General features: G+C 40.2%; 1 long non-coding RNA gene across 6 annotated transcripts in view; it reads left to right on the top strand.

Annotated features, from left to right (window-relative positions):
• The window catches only part of LOC105370265 (uncharacterized), a 94,000-nt gene that overhangs the window by 43,958 nt on the left and 24,881 nt on the right, over positions 1-25,161 (top strand). For 3 of the 6 annotated variants that reach the window (XR_942096.3, XR_001749927.1, XR_942097.3), the window contains exons 1-2: positions 6,499-6,538; positions 9,129-9,234. The exons of 2 other annotated variants lie outside the window; for them this stretch is intronic. This is a non-coding gene — a long non-coding RNA (uncharacterized LOC105370265). Of the gene's footprint in view, positions 1-6,498; positions 6,539-9,128; positions 9,235-17,304; positions 19,711-25,161 lie in introns of those variants that run through there. One more of the 6 variants, XR_001749924.2, reaches the window with a different exon arrangement.

Here is a 25,161-nt window from a genome sequence, read left to right as displayed (position 1 = left end):
AAATAATAAATTAACCTGTTGCTAAACCATCTTCTCATGGCTCTGGCCCCTACCCTACTTATTTTTCTAAATTTCACATTTGTATCTTTTCAAGAATAAATAGCAGGTTTTTTTTTTTTTTTTTTTTTTTTTAACTGTCACTCTTTTGTGATTTCTCAAACTTTAGTTTTGGAGAAAATTTCCTGAGATTTTATAACTTCTCTTAATAGACAACAACAGCAAAGTGTTTCTGTTTTCTTTTTGATTCGCTTTGGGTCACGGTATACCTTTTAATAATGACATACATTTCAGCTATAAACCTTCTTACAATAACTAAGTGCAGTTTGTTTGTTTGTTTGTTTGTTTGTTTGTTTTTTTGTTTTGTTTTTTTGTTTTTTTTTTTTTTTTGAGACGGAGTCTAGCTCTGTCGCCCAGGCTGGAGTGCAGTGGCGCGATCTCGGCTCACTGCAAGCTCCGCCTCCCGGGTTCAGGCCATTCTCCTGCCTCAGCTTCCAGAGTAGCTGGGACTACAGGCGCCCGCCACCACGCCCGGCTAGTTTTTTTTTGTATTTTTAGTAGAGACGGGGTTTCACCATGTCAGCCAGGATGGTCTCAATCTCCTGACCTCGTGATCCGCCTGCCTCGGCTTCCTAAAGTGCTGGGACTACAGGTTTGAGCCACTAAATGCAGTTTAGTTTACTATATCCTTTCTATCTTTTTAGCATTTTAGATTTTATTCAATTTTCTGAAACAGCCATTTATTTTCAGTAGGTCTTGTAGGTTGTTTTTCTTAGAATCTTCTTTTTGTAGTGGTTACATTAATCTCCCAAGCCTTTGGACGTCTATCCTTGATCTCTGGAATCTCTGTTACTTTTTTTCTTACAGTCAATTACTCTAATTTCTTTTCCTTTCACCTCTACTTGTTTTTATAGAAACTTTCTTTTTTTAAAAATTTTGATATTGCCATTAACTTTACTGCACATTGCTGCTTTGCTCTGGCTGTGAATAGCCTGCACAGGCAGATAGAGAACTGAAACACATGATAAAGAGTTCAGTATAATTTGCACAAGATCCCAAATACACATTTGTCATGCTGGGCACCTAATGGTCGTATCTATCACTAAAGCAATAAAGGAGCATATTAAGCAGATATATTGGTGCTGAGCATGATTGCTTAAGAGAGCATAAATAAATAAAATTTCTCAAATAGATAAACATCACCTGAGTTTCCATCTTACCAAAGACGATTGGGAGCCATAATGATAACCAGAAATTGCTTCTTCATTGGCTTCTTGGTTTTTAGTTAGGTAAAGGAGGGTCTGTAATTTAGATCAGGGCCATTGGCTCCATAATGGGAAAACAGGGACAACTATGCCAGTTAAACAAGCAATATTCCTCATTTCTGACCTAGGATAATGTTCTACAGGATGAGAAAGTGCTTATGTAACTGGGTATATTTAGCCTTATTTCTTTAAACTGGGTCTGTTAACCCAATTAGACAATTTTAGACTAGGCCAGTAGGAAAACTGGGTAAATGTGTAGTGACCCAGAAGTCAACTTGAGCATACCAGGAGATTAGGAGAGGGCCAGGGTCTGTATTGGTTTGCTTTGGTGCTGCTACTGCCTTCTGTATTCTACCAGCAAGTGACTTGGTGAGGATGCTGCCAAGTCTTAGGTGCCCACCTAGACTGGCTCTCTTTTTCCATTGACAGAAGCTGGTCCAGCCCAGTTGTGCTTATAACTCATTTTTTATTATTTTTCTTAGTGTTGCTGGTGTTATTGGTAGTTGTGGTAGAAATAATAGTAATAGCCTTTTCTGTGGCTCCTTGAAGTGTTGAAAGATCCTCGCATTAACCCCCTTTCTCTTGTGAAATAGCTTGAATTACCCTTCCCACTTGAACTATGAGAAGATCATCTCTGAAGAGTCAGGTGACCGGTTCAAGAGCCATGCTCTTCTTATGCCTGGCAGAAATGTTTCCTGAATATATCCATGTTCCCCTGTGCATTTAGTAGTGCCCTTGTGGTGAGATGGAGCATTTAAGAGCCAGTGCATGACTGTCTGATTCACTTGCTTTGGACTTTTGTTGCCACTGACCTGGAAGCCACATCTTGAGATACTGAAGCCACAAGATACAAGTGGCTTGGATTCCTGATTCACTGCTTGAAGGGAGCTACCCTGGAGAGCTGCCAGGCTTGCAGACAATTTTGCCCAAGTGAGAAATAAACCTTTGGCATATTCAGTTACTGAGATATTATTTATTACTTATTACTGCAGCATAGGCTAGCCTATCCACCAGAGTAAAGTGATCCTTACTTATATCTAGGTATGTATAGTGTAAAATATATTTTTATGTATATCAAATTTCATCTCCACAAGAACTCTGAAAGTAAAATATTCTATTTCTATTTTTCGAGTATAATGATAATCAATGCTGCAGTGTTCAGATTGTTTTGTGCACTTTTAGATCTCTATTTTTCATTTATCACGACTGGGATTTTATATGTATTTATAAAATTATTTGATCAATATCTGTCTAGAGTTGAAGCTCCATGAGGATACTATAATCCTGAGCCTGAATGAAGCAGATAATGCCTGTTTGTTGAATTCAGTGAATAAATGAGTGCTAGTATCAGTGGATGAGTGCATTTCATCCTTATGGACGAGCCACAGAAATTCTACTTTGAATCAGGGGAATTAATTGTGTGGTTTGAATAATCCATGGCATTTGGCAAAAGGAGATTGATTGATTCATCTTAGTTGTAGGACTACATCTACCCCTGGGACAAGATGGGCCATGTCCTTGGGCCAGGATATCCACCCTTCTGGCTGTTTTGATGTGGGAAATACTGACTTCAGAGAATGTATATTGATGATTGGACTTTATGCCCAGTTTATTAATATAAGTTCTAATGGCATGCCAAACTTTGTCACAATTACTCTGGGGCAGAGCCAATTTCAATATATTTTATGCTTCAAGACCATAAAGAAAAATTCATGAAAGCTTTGGTGGTTGTGGTGTCATTGCTTGCATGAACATTAGAATCTGAACTTTTGACACTGTAGATATTAATTACAGATATTAGGTATTAGTACATGTACTGGTTTAGAGCTGTTTTCATGAACACTGGGTGAATGGCACTCTTAATGGAACTCTTCAACATTCATTGCTGTTGTTTACACAAGAAAAATGATTCATATTTTGTAGGGTGGATGGTAGGTTTATGCTGACTTAGCCACATTTTGTTAGGCTGTTCTTCCTGGTAACTTATAGTCATTTCTGAGACAATTGCCTGGGACTAGTCTGGTCTGTGATCATGGAATTGCGTGACATTAACTGACAAATGGATAGATTAAAGCCATGGCTCTGACCTTATTAAAATAATGTGTTCATCATTCTAGCTTAAGAACATTGACTTCAAAGAGAACTCTTGGAACTAAGGAAAGCTAAAGGGATAAAACACAAAATTTAAATTTAGTCTGTGTTTTCTCTGGATTCAACCAGCAATACAAATCTTGCTCAGTGGTATAATGGTGTAAATCTGGCCACCATGGACTTAAGGATACCCATAATTAGATAACTTAATCATCTGATCTAATGAAGAAAATGCAATAGCACTATGCTTATTTGGACACAGCTTTTCTTATCTGTGCCTATGAATAGGATGTGTGATAACAAGATGTCAAAACAATTGCTGCACTGTGAGCTGAAGGAGGGCAGTCTACTCAAAGCAGACAGAAGGAATGATCAAGGGCACATGTGAGAGCCATGGACAGTAATGAGGCTGTGGCTCCAGACAGACCCTGCTGGCCTGTTGTCTGAGATGAGGCCATTAACTAAGCATGTCTTGTAGGGCAGAATCACAGGACCCCCAACAGAAAGTGGCCCAATGTCTTTTATGTTAAATACAGGGCAGACACTGGAAAGGAAAGGCATGTAGGAACAAAAACTGCTTTTTAATCAAACTGTTAAAGTGAATGCAGAACCTGTAGAATAGGATAAAATATTTTCAAACTATGCATCCAACTGGGGACTAATATCCAGAATGTATATGAAACTCAAACAACCGAACAATAACAAAAACAAACAACTCCATTAAAAAATGGGCAAAGAAGATGAATAGACATTTCTCAAAAGATGTACAAATGGCTACAAAGCATCTGAGAAAAATACTCAACATCACTAATCATCAGAGAAACACAAATAAAAACCACGATGAGATATTATCTTACACCAGACAGAATGGCTATTATTAAAGAGACAAAAAACAACAGATGTTGGTGAGGATGTAGAGAAAAGGGGATGCTTATACACTGTTGGTGGGAATGTAAATTAGTACAAGCCTCTATGGAAAACAATTTCTCAGAGAACTAAAAACAGAACTACCATTCAATCCAGCAATCCCATTACTGGGCATCTACCCAAAGGAAAAGAAATCATTATATCAATAAGATATCTGCACTTATTTGTTTATTGCAGCACTATTCACAATAGCAAAGATATGGAATCAACCTAAGTTTAGCAACAGATGACTAGATAAAGAAAAATGGTATATATGTATGTATATATACATATACACATATACACAATGGAATACTACTCAGCCATAAAAAATAAAATTATGTCTTTTGCATCATCATAGATGGAATTGGAGCCCATAATCTTCATTGAAAGAACTCAGAAATACAATTTCGGGTACCATGTGTTCTCACTTATAAGTGGGAGCTAAATAATGTGAGCACATGGACATAGAGTGTGGAATGACAGATATTGGAAACTTGGAAGGATTGGGGGGGTAAGGAATAAAAAATACTTAATGGGTACATTGCATATTGCATTATGGATACATTAAAATTAAGGATACATTAAAATTAAGGATAATTAAGGATACATTAAAAGCCAAGATTTCACCACAGTGCAATATATGCACATACCAAAATTGCACTTGTACCCCTTAAATTTATTTTTTTAAAACCCCGTTAAGTTGAGGAGAATCACTGTTGGTCATCAGATACCGATCTGTCAGTTCAGAGGACAAGAGTGCCTGTCCTCATGCTCACAGGAAGCGGCGTGTCTTATGCTATCCCATCTAGGAAAACCTGTGTACCTCAGACTATGCAGATACTTCACTATTTATCTGGTTTCCTCCATAATTCCCTGACCAATTATCCATTCATTTGAAGTTGCAGCATGTGCTACAGTATTGTGAGTTACTGCTATGAATTATTATGGAAACATACATTCAAGTATTTCTGAAGTCGTAGGTAGCAGCACAGGGCTTCTGCCTATATGTTTCAAAGCTTTTCTCAGTATACAAAGCAAAGAAGGTGTTAAACATGAATAATTGGAATTCACATGGCTTGGGAAATAGATTGTGAATGAGAAAGATTAACAGTCCCCTGAAAAAGTAGGAAAGGATGAAGTTTCTATCAAGGGAGGTGAAAATTGTCAGTGGATTGTACAATGAGATGGGATAACACTGCTTAGGCCGTCTATTTCCCTTAAATTGCCATGGCAGGAGTTACATAAGCAAAGGGTGCTTTTTTTTTTTTTAATTGCGCCATTCTCTTTTTGTCTCCTTCTCTTAAATTTCTTTTAAAAGAAGCTTAAGAAGCAGCATGCAAAGCATCCAGAATAATGCAAAGTTACCCTCCAATGCTGGTAAATGTAAAAAAAAAAAAAGCTCTTTTTTTTTTTTTTTTTTTTTGCATTTGAACAAAGTACATTTTTAGGTACTGTGCACACTCTTGTTTGTGGTAGTTTGTGAACATTTCTCATGGTAAGCAGACTTTTACCAGTTTGGCCATTCCTGAAAACGAGACCCATGACAATTCTTTCAAAAATTTCTCTTAGAAGAGCCTTCCTGTGTTTAGTCTCATGGAAAGAAATGCTGGTTGGAAGAAAAGTCCTTTAAGGAAGAAAAACATGATACAAATAGCAAGTTTTTTAAAGCAACCCAATTCTCCACTCTATGAAGTAGAAAACAAGCTTTCTTGGAAACCGGTGGCAGAAAGTGTTTCTAGATTGAGAGAAGAATGGGGATGGAGGAAGGGAGAAAGCGTATTTCCTTATTCCATGCCAGGGCAATGACCAGGGGATATACAGTAATAGCAAACATTCACATTGCACTTGCTGTTACCTTTCTAAGCACTGCTTTCCATAGTTTAGCTCAATGAATCCTCCCACTCCCCATGAGGTAGGTATATTTTTATCCCCTTTTGCAGATGGGAAACTGAGGTACAGAGAGCTCACAGGACTTGTCAGAGATCACACCGGTAGTATGTGGCATACTGTGGTATTGAGCCAGCTTTGCTTATAACAGACAAAGCGAAGAACTCAGGGGGTGTGATTTATAGACTATTTATAGTCTGAAGAGACCTGTTAATAAAAAATATTCCCTTAATGCTCTCTGAGATTCTTATCTTAGGGTCCAAAGACTGACCAATGAAAACTTCATTTGAGTAGCATACTCTATTCAAAGACAGGCTACAGTAATAGACTAATCCCATTTTCTTCCCTACAGAAATGAAGTAAAGGCATTTGGAAGGAGGAGTGAAGCAGTAAGTCAATGTGCAGGGAGCCTTCTGGGCTGGGGAGGAACAGTGAGGGTGGATGGCCAATGGGAGCAGCCTACCTTCCCGCCAGGGTCATGGCAGAGGGAGAAGGGGACAGATGCAAACAGAAGAGGCCTGGAGAATGGGTTTTAGAGTCAGGCAAACCTCACTTTGAAACCCCCTTATCACTTCTCAGGCTAGTTCCTTCACCTCTCGAAGTTTCACTTTTCTCCTCTATTATCGCCTGGGGTGGTTTAAAACATTTAATAACATCCTGAGAGTAACATACAGTATGTTACCCCCAGACATGAGGGTACAGACATTAGCACACAATGAAGGGACAAAAGAGCCCAAACTCCAGAGCCAAGTTGCCTGGGTACAAGTCCTGGGGGCCTCACTCATTAGCTGTGTGTGAGTTAACGTGTGTAAAGTGGTTAGACTCGTCTGTGGTACATAATACATGCTATGTAATTGCTAGCTATTTTCACAGTAAGCACTCAGAAAATAGCAACTGGCATTAGTGAGATATATATTAACCTACTTAGGCTTTGTTTTTCTAGCACATCCATGTATTGATACCTGTCAGTCTATAAATAAGCTCTTCTTGTTGGCGTTGAACTTTCTTATACCTACTATAAACGCTGCCTATTATTTTTGGTTAAATTCTATTTCTAACAAAGCATAATTTTGGTTCAAAAGTGTAATGCTACTTGGGAGGCTGAGGCAGGATAATCGCTTGAACCTGGGAGGTGGATGTTGCAGTGAGCTAAGATCGTGCCACTGCATTCCAGCCTGGGCGACAGAGTATGACCCCATCTCAAAAAAAAAAAAAAAGTGTAATGCAGCGGGTAATAAGGTAAAGTTTTCTTCTTTTAGGCTTTAAGATACAGTTATTGTAGGAGTCAAGAATTCCATCTTTTGGTTTGGATTGACAATCAAAGCAGGAATGTAAATTGTACCTGGACTTGTTCTCCAGATTATCAGGGAATGAGCTCATGGCTTCCTGTTTAGCTTCCTGAGCTCTGTGCTCTGACATGAAACTGCAGAATTGGAGCTGCTCCAACATTTTGTTCTGGAGCAAGACGAAATGTAAGAACTCTTGCTGGGTGGCCCAGTGCACTTTCAAATATAGGTCGGTGCAAAAGTAATTGTGGTTTCGGATCATGAATTTTAAATCATTATAACTAGGCTCAAACATATCTTTATTAATCAAAGTAGGAACTATTACAATCAACACATTTTTTGCCAACAAGAAATAAGTTTGTTTACTCCTGTAGAACAAAAATCCATGCTTTGGGATTCGACAACCCATGGAAAGGATTTTCTGCAATCTGCTGGTTGTGGAAGCATTTTCCCTACAAAAAGTTGTTGACATGCTTGAAGTGGTAATATGTTGGCGAGAGGTCAGGTGAATATGGCGGATGAGGCAAAACTTCGTAGCCCAATTTGTTCAACTTTAAAGTGTTGGTTGTGTGACATGCAGTCAGGTTTTGTCGTGGAGAATAATTGGGCCCTTTCTATTGATCAATGCTGGCTGCAGGCATTGCAGTTTTTGACACATCTAGTCAATTTGCTGAGCATACTTCTCGGGTGTAAATCGTTTCACCGGGATTCAGAAAGCTGTAGTGGATCAGACTGGCAGCAGACCACCAAACAGTGATCATAAGCTTTTTTTGGTGGAAGTTTGGCTTTGGGAAGTGCTTTGGAACTTCTTCTGGGTCCAACCACTCAGCTGGTTGTCACCGATTGCCATATAAAATCCACTTTTGTCACATGTCACAATCCGATCAAGAAATGGTTCATTGTTGTTGCATAGTGTAAGATAAGATGATACTTCAAAACAATGATTTTTTTTTTTTTTATTTTTGGTCAGCTCATGAGGCACCGACTTATTGAGCTGAGCTTTTTCACCTTTCCAATTTGCTTCAAATGCCAAACAACCATAGAATGGTCGACGTTTAGTTCTTTGGCAGTTGTGTAGTTGTAAGAGGATCAGCTTTGATTGTTGTCCTCAATTGGTTGTGAACTTCGATGGCTGGCCACTACACTCCTCATCTTCAAGGCTCTCATCTCATTTGCAAAACTTCTTGAACCACCAATGCACTGTACATTCATTAGCAGTTCCTGGGCCCAATGCATGGTTGATATTGTGAGTTGTGTTTGCGACTTTACAACCCATTTTGAACACGAATAAGAAAATTGCTCAAATTTGCTTTTTGTCTAACATCATTTCCATAGTCTAAAATAAACATAAAATAAAAAGCAAGTAATGTCATTAGCAAAAAAAATTAAAGTGAGAAATGCCCATTAAAATGATGTATAACATAACCACATTTATTTAAGAATGTATTCCAATATGAAATGACAAATTCCCAACAATGCAAAAACTGCAATATATCTTTATTATTTTCCAGGGACCTTTTAAATGCTTTTAGTACTTTGGCCTCTGTTTCAATGTTGTGAATGCCATTATACACATGGACATTGTGAACAAATATGAAATGCTGGCAGTTATATTTTTCCAGTTAGTAGTTGTTTATTGATTGATCCATTCATTCTCCTAAAACTTCTTTAATGAGCATCTATTATATGCCAGGAATTGTTCCAATCATTGGGGATTCAGCAGTGAACAAAACAGACACAATTCCTTGGTTTCAAGATACCTGCATTCTGATAAAACGTGTGAGACGATAATAACCAAGGTAAGTAAAGTATGTGACATGTTGGTGACAATGTACTATGGAAAAAAACAAAAAGGTTGGTAGGGTGAGAGGGTGACTAGGAAATCCTCACTGAGAGGCAAATGATGTTCGATTAAGACCTGAAGGAGTGTGGAAATGAACTATGTGGGAAGAGCAACCCAGGCAGAGGGAACAGCAATTACAAAGACTCAGAGGCAAGAGAATGCCTAGCATATGTAGGGCAGAGCGAGGAGGCCACCACAGTAGCTGGAGAGGAGTGAGTTTTGGGGAGAATAATTGGAAACAGAGTCAAAGAACAGGGAAGAGTCAAAAGATAGAGGTCCTTGCAGGCCATTAGAAATTTGGCTTTACTCCTGGTAGGATAGGAAGCTATTACACGGTCTCAGGCAGAGGAATAGCACAACCTGATTTTCATTTTGCCAGAATCAGTCTGGGGCTAGATTGAAAACAGAAGTGGTAGGGGGTGAACAAAGATCAAAGAAGAGTCCCCAGTTAAGGGGCTATCACAGTGGTCTTGGGGAGGGAGGACAGTGACTTGGACCAGGGGGCTTGCAAACATCCTGGAATGTAAAATGGTACAGCCACTCTGGAAAGTAGTTTGGCACCTTCTAAAAACAAGCCAACAAACAAATGAAAACTAAACTGAAATAGCCACACATTGACCATACAACTCAGCAATTGAACTCCTGGGAACCTATCTTGAAGAAATGAAAACAGGTCCACATAAAAAATGTGTACAAATTTATTCACAGCAGTTTTATTTATAGTTGACAAAAACTGGAAATAACAAAAATGTCCTTCAAATAACACCTGTAGATCTCAAGGGTATTATGCAGAGTGAAAAAAAAAGCCAACCTCAAAAGGTCACATACTGTACATTTCCATTTATATGACACTACTGTAATGACAAAATTATAGAGATGGAAAACAGGTTGGCAGGGGTTTTGGATACAGAGGGAGGTAGGTGTGATCATAAAAAGGTAGCATGAGGAAGTCCTTTGTGGCGATGGGTTAGTTTCTGTGTCTTGATTGCAGTTGTGATTACATGAATTCACACATAGGATTAAGTGACACAGAACTCTACACACATACAGTGTCAATTTCCTGGGTTTGATATTGGGCTATAAATGTGAGATGTAACCATGGAAGGAATCTGGGTGAAATGTATGCAGGACCTCTCTGTGCTATCTTTGCAGCTTCCTGTGAAAAATATGATTAGCTGACATGGCGGTAGGGCAGAGGTGTCAGGGGAAGCAGGGAAGGAGGGAGGGCCTTGGGTCAGCAGAGTTGTGGCTCATTCTTGGAGTCTTTGTGTTCTTTGGGATTCTTGATAGTATTTGTGGCTCCTTTTAAACTCCTGTAGTTGCGTGAGGCTTAGTGCCCTTTAATAATAATAGAAGACGCTGATGAAGGCAAAAAATAAATGGAGCCAACAGAATTTGCTGACTGAGCTGATGTGGGGTATAGGAGAAAATGGAGCTAAAGATGACTCCAAGAGTTTTGGCCTGAGCAACTGAAAGATTTGAATTGCAATTAATCATCAAAAGTGCTAGGTTGGGGGTATATATTGAGAACTCAGTTTTAGATACGATATATTTAAGATACCCAGTTGACATCTCTGGAAGTCATCAGCATGAAAATGGCATTTTTAGCTATAAACCTAGATGAGATTACCAAGAGAGTGAGTATATAGAGAGAAGTGAATTTGGGGCTGAGTTTAGAATGCGCCAACATTTAAAGATGTCAGAGATAAAGAGGAACCAGAAAAGACCAGGACACAGTGCCCAGACAAATAAGAGAAAATGTAGGTGAGGGAGGTTGTAAGAAGATAGTCATGATCTGTCTCAAATACTGCTGAAATGTCAACAAGATGAAGACAGAGATTTGACCATAGCTTTAGCAGTTTGGAGGGTATGAGAGAACTCCATGGGGTATTGAAGGACAGAAGGTCAAAGTATAACTGGAGTGGATTCAAAAGACAATAGGAAGAGTTAAATTGAAAACACTGCTTATAGTAGCTGCTGGGGAATCTTGCTAGAAAGGGAAGGTGAAAATGTAGAGAAACCAGGAGAAGTTTTCTGGTTTTTTTTTTCCCCTTTTTTTATGACGAGAAGGAAAGAACGTCTTTTGTTCTGGTGGAAATGATTCAGTATAGAAGGCAACTTTTATGGTATGGGAAAGAGGAGAGAATAACTGAAGAAATGTCCTTGAGGAGGCAAGAAGGGTTGGGATCTAGTGCACAGGTAATGTGGAAGCAATAGCTTTTTCCAGGAGAGAAGCAGAGTTTAAAGGTGCAGATGGGTGAGGCCATGTGTGCGGAGGGGCTATCTTGTGGGAGTTCTATTTGGGTGGTTTCTATCTTTCCAGTGAAATGGTAAGCAAGGTCATTGCTGCTACAGATGAGAATAGGTGGGTGAGGCTGGAGGTTTGAAGTGGAAAAAGAAACTGTGAAAGCATAGAAGAAGGAATGCACCAGGGGAACAAGTGCACCTTCTTTCAGCTGTAGCACATGTGTTTTATGCAATGAGATGTCTCTACTCTTAGTTTGGTATATTTATCATTGCAATAATTGTACTTCCTATTTGGTCAATGACTTGGCAATTCATGCAACCCTGTGACCTCAATTCTCTTTTAACCCCTTGAGAGGTTAATTTTGAAATTTTGGATTTTGGAAGAAAGGAAAATATGAAAGGGGAAGGAATGTCTAATGTGAGGAGGTATGGAAACAACCAGGAGAACAAAAAGTAGAATAGTTGTTTATTTCATCATTTATGGAACCCATGAAAGGGTTTTAGGTCACTGACATGCAAACAATGGCAGTTTCAGCTAAATGGAATACTTTGGATATTTTTACTTGTGTTATGTTCATCCAAACAAATATTTGTTGATAAGCTAACATTATCCAAACAAATATTTGTTGATAATCTAGTATTGAGCCAGGAACTATGCTATATACCAGGGACTGGGGAGCAGATGGCCATTGTCCTCAAAAGCCCTAGGTACTATGGAAGTAGAAATGTAAAGTGTGGTAAGTGGCAGGATGCAAGGGAAGGGAGGTGCCTGAATATGGCTGGGCAGTCGGTGGGCATTATTCAGAAAGAGACTCAACTAGGGATATTGGAATTGAGATTGACAGAAGGAGTGAGGGATAACCTGGTGATGTGGGTTGTGAGTAAGAAAAAAGCCATTTCATGGGAGGGTGAGGGCAAAGGTGAGAGGGTAGAAGGGAAGAGAAGCAAGGAAATAAGGCTCTGAGGGAGAGGCTACAGGGCCGGTGATCAAAAGTCTTGAGATGCTTCCATGTGATGGCTCCTGTCTGTACTCCCAGGACCTTGGGAGGCCAAGGTCGGTGGATCACTTGAGGTCAGGAGTTTGAGACCAGCCTGACCAACATGGTGAAACCACGTCTCTACTAAAAATACAAAAACATTAGCCAGGCATGGTGTCAGGCGCCTATATTTCCAGCTACGTGGGGGGTTGAGGTGGGAAAATCTCTTGAATCCAGTAGATGGGGGTTGCAGTGAGCTGAGATTGCACCATTGCACTCCAGCCTGGGTGACAGAGTGAGACTCCACCTCAAAAAAAAAAAAAAAAAAAAGTCCTGAAATGGAGAGGACCAGGACAGAGGGGAGCCATGGGTGAGGAGATGGGTGAGGAAGGAGAGGGGCTTTAACCCTGGGTACCTGCATTTTATTGCTAAAGCCATGTTAGTGCAGCATCTTCTTACAAGGCTGGCTGTGACCTAGGAGAGAAAGAAGAATTGACCAGAAGGAAATAAGGAGGAGAAGGGAAGGGAAGAATATCAGCTTCTTGGTGGATGCAACTGGGATAGCCCCCAATGCACAAGGCCCAGCATTGACCCTACCTTTCCTTGGTCTCTAAATCTGCATCAGAGTTTTACAACTTGTCAGGAAGCCAGGGATGGCTGAAGAGCACTGGACTTGGAGACTTGGGTTCTTGTCTCCAGTATAAAGTCATTAGGCAAGTTGTTTATCTCTGGGTCCTGATTTCCTCATCTGTAAAACCAGGTGGTTGGGTCTGAAGCTCAGATGCGTCATTTCTAAAAAATATTCCCTTGTGCTATATATTAATCGTTAGTGAGCATAAGGATATTATATTTCATTCCCCACTCAACACTCATGTAAGGCCTTTCTTTTCATGCTGCGAACTCTTCTAATTCAGGCCTCTTGTGTAGGGCATTTGTGATCCATCGACATCTGTGCTTTTATTCTGTTACTTAGTGTTACTGGTTTCCTTGAAAGGTGATTTGGAAGTTTCACAGAGATGATGAACTGTCAATCTTAGAGGAGTGAGGAATATGTGTAGTAACAATGATAATGAAGATGATGATGATGAAGATGGTGATAATGGTGATTCTGATCTCTTATTCATTTTCCATATATCACATTTAATTCACACAACAAACTTTTGATATAAAGATTTCCATTATCTGCATTTTACAGATAATGCACAGATTAGGCACAGAAAGGTGACGTAACCTTCTCAAAGTCACGCAGCATTTGAATCCATGTAGTCTATTTGAGTGTGTGAATAGGGAGAAAGGAGATAGAAAGGTGGAGGTTGGGGATTACATTGTTTTTGAAATTTCATAGGAAGTTTCCAAATATCTAATGCAGAACAATCCTATAAATTGACTCTCAGAAAACATTTTAAGGGTTAATATACATTGCAAGATGACAATTGTGACTGTACCAGAAACAGAAATGACATTCCAGGGAATAAGATTCTTCAGTTTAGTTTAAATGTAGAGAGTTTGAAATGTGTACCTGTTTTAAAACTTATTTTTTAAATTTCAGCTTTCATTTTAGATACAGGGATAAGTGTGCTGGTTTGTTACGTGAGAATATTGCTTTATTCTGAGGTTTGAGTAAGGGTCTTGTCACCTGGCTAGTGAGCATAATATCTGATATGTAGTTTTTCAACTTGCATCTCCCTCCCTCCCTCTCCCCTCTAACAGTCTGCAGTGTCTATTGTTCCCATGTTTATGTCCATGTGTGCTCAATGTTTAGCTCCCACTTATAAGTGAGAACATGTGATATTTGGTTTTCTGTTTCTGTGTTAATTCACTTAGGATTATTGCCTCTGGCTGCATCCATGTTGCTGCAGAGGACACAATTTCATTCTTTTTTATGGCTGCATATATTTCATGGTGTCTATATACCATTTCCATTGTCTGCATTTTACAGATGAGGAAATTAGGCACAGTGAGGTGAGGTAAACTTCTCAAAGTCAGGCAGCATTTGAATCCACGTAGTCTTAACCATAGTTCCATTTCAGTGTGTGAGTAGAGGAGGAAAAGAGGATAGAAGGTAAGTTCTTCATCATTTAAGTTGTAGAGTCCCTTATTAAGACAAAAGCATCCTCCATTGATGGGCATCTGGGTTGATTCCATGTCTTTGAGACCTGCACCTCTTCCATCATCTTCCTCCCAGCTCTGAAGAGCATCTTCTGTTCACTTCAGCTTCCTCTAGTCAAGAGGAAACTCACCATGACGTGCCTTGTTTTGTCATGTGGGTCTACTTACATAAAAAATGTTATTTGGGCCGGGTGCAGTGGCTCACGCCTGTAATCCTAGCATTTTGGGAGGCCGAGACGGGTGGATTGCCTGAGCTCAGGAGTTCGAGACCAGCCTGGGCAACATGGTGAAACTGTGTCTCTACTAAAATACGAAAAATTAGCTGGGCATGGTGGTACACACCTGTAATCCCAGCTACTGGGGAGGCTGAGACTGGAGAATCGCTTGAACCAGGAGGCAGATGTTGCAGTGAGCTGAGATCGCACCACTGCATTCCAGCCCGGGCGACAGAGCGAGACTCTCTATCCAAAAAAAAAAAAAGGTATTTGGAAGTAGTTATGATCTGATTTTTTAATGATTCATGTTGTACAAGGGCAATGTAATAACCTGCATTTGTGTCATACCTGACAGTTTGCAAAGAGCTCACATTATAATTACGATTAACATTTATTGAACACCTATTATGTGCTAAGCTATGTCAAGCAGTTTTATATGGGTTATTTCACTTAATCCTCACAACAACCTTTTGAGGTTGATTTCATTGCTATCCCTATTTTAGAGATGAGAAGACTGAGACACACAAGTGTTTAAGTTTAAGGTCACCTGACTAGTACAACAGGAATTTGACTCAGACCAAAATGACCAACTGTAATGCAGGAATTAGGTTTTCCATTTGTTACAAGGAAATTTTCTTCACATTTCAAATTTAATATGTGGCAATGATTACATTTGAAATGTGATGGAAATATGGGGCTATTGCTGTTTTTGGTTTTATCAGGGACTCTGCACTCTACAACTTGAATGTTGAAGACTATTTACTTTTTTTTTTTTTTCTTTGAGACAGAGCCTCACTCTGTCACCTAGGCTGGAGTGTAGTGATGGGATCTCGGCTCACTGCAACCTCTGCCTCCTGGGTACAAGTGATTCTCCTGTCTCAGCCTCCCAAGTAGTTGGGACTACAGGTCCGTGCCACCATGCCCGGCTAATTTTTGTATTTTTTTTTTTAAGTATAGAGAGGGGGTTTCACCATGTTGGCCAGGCTGGTCTCGAACTCCTGGCTTCAAGCAATCCACTTGCCTCAGCCTCCCAAAGTGCTGGGATTACAGGCGTGAACCAACGTGCCTGGCCAGAACTTTTACTTTCATCAGAAATCAAAACCTCCTCTATTCAACAAGTAATCTTTAATAATTTTTGGGTCTTTTCTCTACCATGCTGTGAACCATTTCTGTAAATAATGATCCCCTCCTTTGCAAAAGTCCTACAAAAGAGGTCAATGGGTGAAGGAAAGAAATGACACATTTCAAAAGATCTGCTTTCCTCTTTCAAGTTCTTTTCTGGCCACTTCTTTTTCCTGTTGTGTAATCAAGCAACTCTCGGTCTGATAAGGCAAGTCTGAACCCTCTTGCTTTGGGTTTTTGGTGGTTGGTCTTTGTTGAGGTGCTGGGGCTGAAATTAGACCAACAACCCACTGGGCAGCATTAAGTTCTGCTTGGAACTTAGTGTACCCTTGATGCTCAGTAAATGCTAATTACCAATGATGATAACAAGGCATATAAATTCAGCTTGTTCTTGCTGATCAGCTTCCCTCTTAGGGGAGGGAACAGACCAGCATGAAGCAGAAATGGTGGCCACTTCCCTGTTTAATGCAAAATTCCTTGGGCACTGTCTGCAGCTCTCGGTCACAATTTGAATAATCAATTGTACTAAGAATAGAGGAACTAATTTAATTTCTATAGTGCTACTGGGATCTGCAATAACTCATTTTATGATGTTATAGTTGCATGCAATTGTCTTGCTAGAAAATGAATAAGTATTTGGAAAATTTAATCCCTTGTGGTGATGCTGTTGTTTGTATGTTGTTTTTAAACCGGCTGAATGACATTCATCTCCCTTAGCCTCCAGAGCTCTTCAGGAAGTCTCTGTGTATAAGTGATGCAAATTTTAGGGAAGTGAGTGCTTTCTGTGCTTCTCCTCTTGCTGTATTTTTGGTATTTTCTGCCTCCTGACTTAACTTGTGGTTTTAGGGACCCATTTCACATTGCTTCTGAGCCTGGAATGTATCTTCTGATATCTGTATTTTCTTACAGCTATAATTTCTGTTATCAAAAAACAGTAAAGGAAGGCTTTATTTCTGAAGCTAAGAGTGAGCCTAGAGATTAAATAAACACATTTCCTAGTAAGTATAAATGTTGAAGTACTAAAATTGCCCAAGTTTTTTTTTTTTTTTTTTTGAGATGGAGTTTCGTTCTTGTTGCCCAGGCTGAAGTACAATGGCGCGATCTCAGCTCACCACAACCCCCACCTCTCAGGTTCAAGCAATTCTCCTGCCTCAGCCTCCCGGGTAGCTGGGATTACAGGCATGCAGCACCACACCCGGCTAATTTTGTATTTTTAGTAGAGACAGGGTTTCTCCATGTTGGTCAGGTTGGTCTCGAACTCCCAACCTCAGGTGACCCACCTGCCTGGGCCTCCCAAAGTGCTGGGATTACAGGCATAGGCCACCATGCCCGGCCAAAATTGCCCAACTTTTAAGTAAAATGATACCAATCTAGAGATCTCTGGGTGATCTATGAATGTGTGAGTGTGTCTTGTTTGAATGTTCAAGGCACACAGCCTAAATGTGTGTGATGAAGTGAATGTGAATTTTATGACCATATGGTTAGTTTAGTTCAACGTTCTCTCTAGGGGCAGTGGTGAGGTGAGTGGCTTCTGTTATGATCTATGCAAGGGTGTAGATGGGCACCCCACTATTCATGTGTAGATGGAGTGTTGTGCTCTAGAGAGGAGAGACCTGCCCTTGGGATCTGGGGTTACTCAGAAGATCTGGGGCTTTGTGATTTTCCGCTGATGTTTGGGCTGGAGCCATGGGAGGTGATTTTTGTACTTATGGAGGATGAATCAGCTCCCAGGCCTGGTTACCTGGAGAACAGGGGATAGTATTTGGAGCATCGTGGGGGTAATTTAGGCTTCTTAGGACCTACAATGGGGAATTTTATGAGTCAGCTTGGCTAGGCTATGGTGCCTAGTTTGCTTGATTAGACATGAATCTAGATGTTTCCATAAAGATAGTTTTATTTATTTATTTTTTAAAGTTTCCATAGTTTTTTTGGGGAAACAGGTGGCATTTGGTTACATGAATAAGTTCTTTAGTGGTGATTTGTGAGATTTGAGTGCACCCATTGCCCAAGCAGTGTACACTGAACCTGATTTGTAGTCTTTTATTCCTCACCCCCTTCCCACCCTTTCCCCTGAGTCCCCAAAGTCCACTGTGTCACTCTTATGCCTTTGCATCCTCATAGCTTAGCTCCCACTTATGGGTGAGAACATATGATATTTGGTTTTCCATTCCTGAGTTACTTCACTTAGAATAATAGTCTCCAATCCCATCCAGGTTGCTGCATATGCCATTAATTCATTCTATAAAGGTGTTTTGTAGATGTGATTATCATTTAAATCAGTAGACTTTGAGTAAAGCAGATTACCTCCACGATATGGACGGGTCTCATCCAACCCATCGAAAGCCTTCAGAGAAAAGACTAAGGTCTCTCCAAGAGAAGGGAATTCTGCCTCTTGACTATCTTCAGACTCAAGGCTGCAACATTGACTCCTGCTAAAATTTCCAGCCTGCCAGCTTGCTCTACAAAATTTGGACTTGCCAGCCCTCACAATCACATCAGCCAGTTCCTTAAAAGAAATCTCTAGCTATGTCATACATCCAATTGGTTTTGTCTTTCTGGAGAGCCATGACTAATACAGAACCCTACTGGATCCTGTGTGGAAACTTCAGCTTGGGTTCTTGGGGCTACTGGAGGAAACTTCACCTGGAACTGTGGGCAGCTATGGGGATTTGTAGTGCAGCTGCCACTTCCAGGGCAGCCTTAAGTCCCTAGTTCACTCAGGCTATGATGCCCTGTGGGTTGTGTATAGGCTTCAGTGGGTTATGGTAGCTCATGTCCCTTTGGCTTTTAAGTCTTATAGGTGACAGGTGAGTGGTTTGTACAGATTGAGTATCCATTATCCAAAATACTTGAGACCAGAAGTGTTTTGGATCCTAGATTTTGGAATATTTGCCTATACATAATGAGATATCTTGAGGATAGGACCCAAGTATAAACATGGAATGTATTTATGTTTCATATATATCTTATACACATAGGCTGAAGGTATATTTTATACCACATTTTAAATAATATTTTGCATGACACAAAGTTTGATTACATTGAGCCATCAGAAAGCAAATGTGTCACTATGTCAGCCACCCATGTGGACGGTCTGTTGTTGTCTGGCATCACCATCATTCCTGACTTTATATGCTACCAATAAGCAATAATTTTCTTATGCACACATAAGTATTTGCCAGTGAAAAATATAACCTACCATTAATATAGGTGTATTAATGTGTTTAGGGTAACTAAGCAGCACAGTGCCATCACCAGAATAAACAACAGCAACAACAAACAATGGCAGGCTTTCAGTTTCCACCTGTGGTGCTATGTTTTGATTAAAAGATTATTGTCCACTGTATTTTTTTTTCAGGTGAGAAGAAATAGCAAAAGCAGTTGAGGGACCAAGTAGTGGGTCCTGTAGGGATAAGGAAGCATTCTGTTGGATGGCTTTTAAAAATGTTCCTTCCAGAATTGCCTACTTCATTAATAAATGGTTTTTGTCTTAGAAGTCTCTGATTTTATAAATTGACATGATTTCTTGTTCTGTTATGGATTCGTCATGTCCTTCAATAAGCCCATCACCCATTTTCACCATGTTTTCTATAGGCACTTTTTCTACAGTGTTAACCATGTCATCTTCTTATCGCTATTTTCACAATCACCTTGATTGAGAACCATTCTGGCTATTTCAAGTCAAGATAGAACAAGTGGAGTCTCATTGATGTTAAAAAAAACTTCTTTGATATCTACTTCCATCTTACTGGCAGACTGAAGGTATGATTTTGCATATGTAAGGAGGTCAGACATCATTTTTTTTCTCACTTGACATTCAGCATCCTTCAAAGTCACCACCTTGTTCATCATCACTAAACATAGTTGCAGGCCAGAGGCTTTGCTAGGCATGCACAACCATGTCTTTAGTCATTGTGTTTCAGGCACTGGCAACAGCATATACGGCATCTTTTATGACAGCTCCTTTTGAAAACCTTCCACATCCATGCCTCTGAACACTGCGGCTAGCATGCTGTTCTATAAAGTGTTTTTATATTTACTCTTCACTCATCTAAGGATACCCTGATCACATGGCTGAATTAATGAAGTCACACTGGGGAAAAGTACATGGCATAAAAATATTTTTGATGAAAAGTTCAGGTGGAGGATGAGTAGAACAGTCGTCAAGGAATAACAAAAGGTTGCAGCTCTCATCCAGTCCAGCTCTCCTGCAGTGAGCATGAGCCACTGGTATAAAATATCTGTGAAACCAATAAGAAAAGATGTCCCTGGTGATCCATGCTTTTTTGTTAGCTATGTCATAACAAGAAATTCACTTCCTGAAAGCAGCAAAGACTCAAGCTTTTGCCAATCACAGCAAGTTTACATTTATGCATGCCTGCTGCATTAGCACGTCCCAGCACAGTTATTCTGTCCTTGACATCCTTAATTCCTGTTGGGGTTATGTCATTAGTTGTAGTGAATATATTTCTAGGGCAAGAACACCAAAACACTGATGTTTGTTGGCATTATAAACTTGTTCTTGTGTCAGATTTCCATCAGGAATGACCTTGACAAACTCATCAATGAATTTCTTCTCTGCTTCATGACCAGCAGATGATTTATCATCACAAGTGTCTAAAAATTTAATGCTGTATATTTTCTTAAATTTTTGCAACCAGCCTGTTGAATAGTCACAATTTCCTTCAATTTCTAGTTCACCGTCATAGATCTTTGCTTGTTTCATGATCAGCATACCATTAAGTGGCATGTATTCATCACAACACTGATGGATCCACTCTTTCTATACACAATCAAGATCTTCATTTTGAGCCTTATGCAGTGTTTTTCTATTTTCATTAACTTCTGTACATCACTTTCAGCACAGAACTTCAGTGGATTGTCCTTCTGTTCCTTCAGGTCATATATGGTGGTCATTCTGACACCATGCTCTTACGTAAGATGTTTCACATGTAATAGCATTGTCCAGTTTCTCCAAAAGCTTGGCTTTCTATGCTATAGATAAGCATAAATGCTTCCTCTTCTTCTTTTTACTGTTAGCCATAGGGATATTTGCAGGCCTTGTTGACATTTCCAATAATATCTTTACACCACAGAAAGAGAAAAACAATAAAACATAGTGAGTAATATATGTAGGTCTTGGCACAATATGGGGCATTGTGGGGAAACTGCCATTGATGTGTCCAGCCTGCACAGATACCATTTTATTGCCCTTTGTGGGCATGCTTGAGTGGGGGAATCTGCACACACACAGAAAATATATTGCAGCTGAAAGAGACTAGGAGGATCTTTTTTCCTTGGGGGAGACTGAATAAACTGTGTCGTGTGCCTGTATTTTGGCTGTGACATCATGTCAACACTTAAAAAGTTTTGAATTTTGGAGCATTTTGAATGTTTGATTTTTAGCATAGGGATGTTCAGCCTGTATTTACAGTCAGACACTAGGCAGTTTTAGTCCTTTTGTGGACTGAGATTTATTTCACCTACTTTGAATATATGGCAATGTCTCAGAATCTCCACTTCTTGTATTTTAAAAATTAGTGGCTGTCTCAACCAAGGTGGAATGAGAGGCTATCTGGTAGGTAGCAGGGAAGATGTGGCAGAAACAACAGCATATGTCAAGATCCAAAGATGTAGTGTACTTTTTCGGGGACAGGAAAGGATGGGATGTTGTTGATGGAAACTGTGGGTTCTAAGAGGTTATCAATTAAAGGAGCCTGTAAGAAAAGACGTAGGACTGAAAGTCTCAAAAATGAAGCCAGGAAAGAGACAACCGAGAGCTTCAAATAATGGGGCAGGAATGTGATATCAGGTGCAGAAGTCTGCAACTTATTTTAATCTGCCACATACATTAGAGGTATCCCTGGTGCAAGGCCACAACAAGTGATTTAAGTTTCTATAAACGAGATTGAATCCTTTTCTTTTTCCCCTCAGGGACTATTTTCCTTTTTGCTTTTTACAGGTTTTGCTTTGGTCGACTTCTTTGTATTTAAGTTTTGTAATTTAAGTTTTGGCAGAAATTTCATCTGGCAATAATCTCCATAAATGTGAATTTAGCCAGATAATTTGGACGTGCGGGGGTATTGTGTGCATTGTAGGCTTTTAAAGCCTTGTCACCAGGGCTGGAAAGTGAACTTCCCATGAACATGTCAGATATACACTGTCAGATATACACAGATATATCTTGGCTTCAACTGAATTGAATACATTACTACCTTGCTCCAAATAGACATTGCAATATCATTTTAAAGATTAGTTAGAATGACTCTTATTTGTCCCTCAGACATTTTTATGACATGTAAATGAGAGGCACTGCAGGTCATTCTCATTTGAGTATAGTTATACTCAAATTTTCAGTTTAGCTTTCTTTACAAGAACAAAGTTACATGGATTATATCAAAGTTATCATCAGTGGCATATAAACCAAGAGATGGGACATCTGGGGAGTTTTTTTTTTGTGGGGCCAGGAAAAATTCTGGAATAGCTGAATTCATCTGTGCAAGCCCATTTGTAAAGATGGTGCCAGGGATCTGCAACTGCTGATAGATGTAGAATCTTTACCCACGTGGGAGTTACCAGGGAGTGCCGAGTAACTGGTGATGGAAAGAAGTATAATTAATGTAGTCTCCATTGCTTCAAAAAGGGACATGCAAACCAGTTATGCACAGGTGATGAGTCTGTTTGATCCATCAGTTATGTCACCTGGTTCTTTTGTCCCCTTTGCCTGTGATGCATGGTGTATATTAAACTTTCTGGCATCCATATTGTCAATATGACTGCACAGTAGTCATCCTTGTGCCACTTAACAAACTAGTGTAATAAGCTACTGGGGCTATCCTGGCAGCTTGGCCAGTGGACACCTGGTATTACCCTGAAGGGGAAGGGACAGAAGCAAGCCCCATTGTAGCTCATAAATCCAGCTTCAGGCTTGATCTAGAGATCAGATTAGGTCACAAGTTAAAGATTGGCCTCAGGACTCAGGAGGGCCTCTAAAAGTTACATTCTCTCAGGTTACTTGGAACAAATTAGAAATTCCACAGGATGTTCCAAACAACCCTGCTCTTCAGGTCATTTCTCTAAAAGTCCTCCATCCCACTATGATTTTGAAGCAAAGTTTATAGTGCATCTGAAAATATTGGCTTTAAAGCTGTATCTCCTGTGATTGAAATCATGTATTAGGGCAGTGGCTAAGTTTCTTTAACAAAGAGGTCTGAAAATTTAGTGACTTAAAGCTTATTTCTCTGTCACGTAACAGCCTATGGGTAGGCAGATGTATTGTCAGGGTTATCTACAGACCCAGGCCTCATCTCTCTTGTGCTACCGTCTCCATGTCCCTATCCACATGGTCAAAACTGACTCACTACTCATGGGAAGTGAGGAAAGAGTGGGGAGTATATGGGCAATGTTTTAAAGGCATGCCTCAGAGGTTGGCGTATCACTTCTGCTTACATTTCTTCATTGCCCAGATATATTAATATGGACACAATTAGCTGAAGGGGTCAGTCTGTATCTGAGCTAAACTTTTGAAGCTTCTATTACTAAGAGGGAGAAGAGGAGAATGGGTGCTGGATGATAATTACTGTCTCTGCCACGATTTAGCTCTGAGTGACAGAAAATCCTAAGTAATTATGGCTTAAACAGGATACAATGGCTTTTTTTTTCCATGTTGAAGAAGTTAAAAGAAAAGCACTTGAGAATAGTAGTGGGCTTCTTGTAGTTGTTAGGGATCCTGGGTCCTTCTATTATGTTGCTCTATCATATTTAGCATGTGGTTTTCACCTCATGGTCCAAGATGGGGGCTGTTTATGCTCCTCCTGTTCCATGTATCTTCCAGCCAGCAGTTAAAAAAAAAAATGAAAATGAAGGATGTATCTTGCCATTCTCTTTAGAAACACCTCATGTAAGTTGTATATAAGACTTCCGCTTCCATCTTATCAGCAAGAATGTGGTCACATGGCCAAACCTAGTTGCAAAGGAATCTAGGCAGCTAGTTCAGAATCAATAATAGCACTGCTAAGAAAGGGGAGATGAACACTAGGAACACTAGGAACACTAAGAGCCACAGCCTGCTCTTTTGGTTACTCAATGATTTCTTCTTTACACCCTTACCTTCTCCTCAGAGCAGATAATGCCCAAATCCTATCTGTATTAATTCACATGGGCTGCCATAACCAAGTACCACAAACCGAATAGCTTAAACAACAGAAATTTGTCTCACAGTTCTGGAGGCTAGACAGTCCAAGATCAAGATGTTGGCAGGGTTGGTGCCTTCTTCCGGCTGTGAGGAAGAATCTGTCCCATGCTGTCCCCTGGCTTCTGGTGGTTTGTGGCAGTCTTTAGCCTTCCTTGGCTTGTAGAAACAGCCCTCAGTCTCTGCCTTCACTTCACATGGTGTTCTCCTTGCATGCTGTCTTGTCCAAATTTCCCCTTTTTGGAAGGACATCAGTCATACTGGATTAGGGGCCCACCTGTTTTAGTATGACCCCGTCTTAACTAATTCCGTCTGCAATGGCTCTATTTCCAAATAAGGCGACATTCTGAGGTCCTGGGGATTAGGACTTCAACACAGGCATTTGGGGGCAGACACAATTCAACCCATAAGACCATCCAATAACTGCACTGAGCTCCATAACTAGAAAACCTTGTCATCAGTTCTAGATGCAGCTCTGTGTGCCATAGCAGCACAGAAATTGAACTGCATAGGTCCCTTCCCCCATACTCATCCAATATACCAAGGCAGAGTAAGAAGAGCACAATTATGACAAAAGCCCCATTTAGAAAAAGAGAGTGGAGGCTGGGTGCGGTAGCTCATGCCTGTAATCCCAGCACTTTGGGAGGTGGAGGCCAGCGGCTCACAAGGTCAGGAGATCGAGACCATCCTGGCCAACATGGTGAAACCCTGTCTCTACTAAAAATACAAAAATTGGCTGGGTGTGGTGGCGCACACCTGTAATCCTAGCTACTTGGGAGGTGGAGGCAGGAGAATCCCTTGAACCCAGGAGTTGGAGGTTGCATTGAGCCGAGATCGTGCCACTGCATTCCAGCCTGGTGACAGAGTGAAACTCTGTCTCAAAAAAAAAAAAAAAAAAAAAAAGAGTGGAGAACCAATGGCAGTAATTGTTCCACAGCAATTGTCTTACCTGCTGGGTGGGACTCTCTGCCTTGGCATTAGAGGAAGCGCCATGGTTTTTCCCTTGGGAAGTCCTGAATCTA

This window comes from Homo sapiens, chromosome 13 (genome assembly GCF_000001405.40).
Source record: "Homo sapiens chromosome 13, GRCh38.p14 Primary Assembly".
NCBI classification, from domain to species: domain Eukaryota; kingdom Metazoa; phylum Chordata; class Mammalia; order Primates; family Hominidae; genus Homo; species Homo sapiens.
Note: the sequence above shows the minus strand (reverse complement) of the source record. Positions and strands in the feature narration are given on the sequence as shown.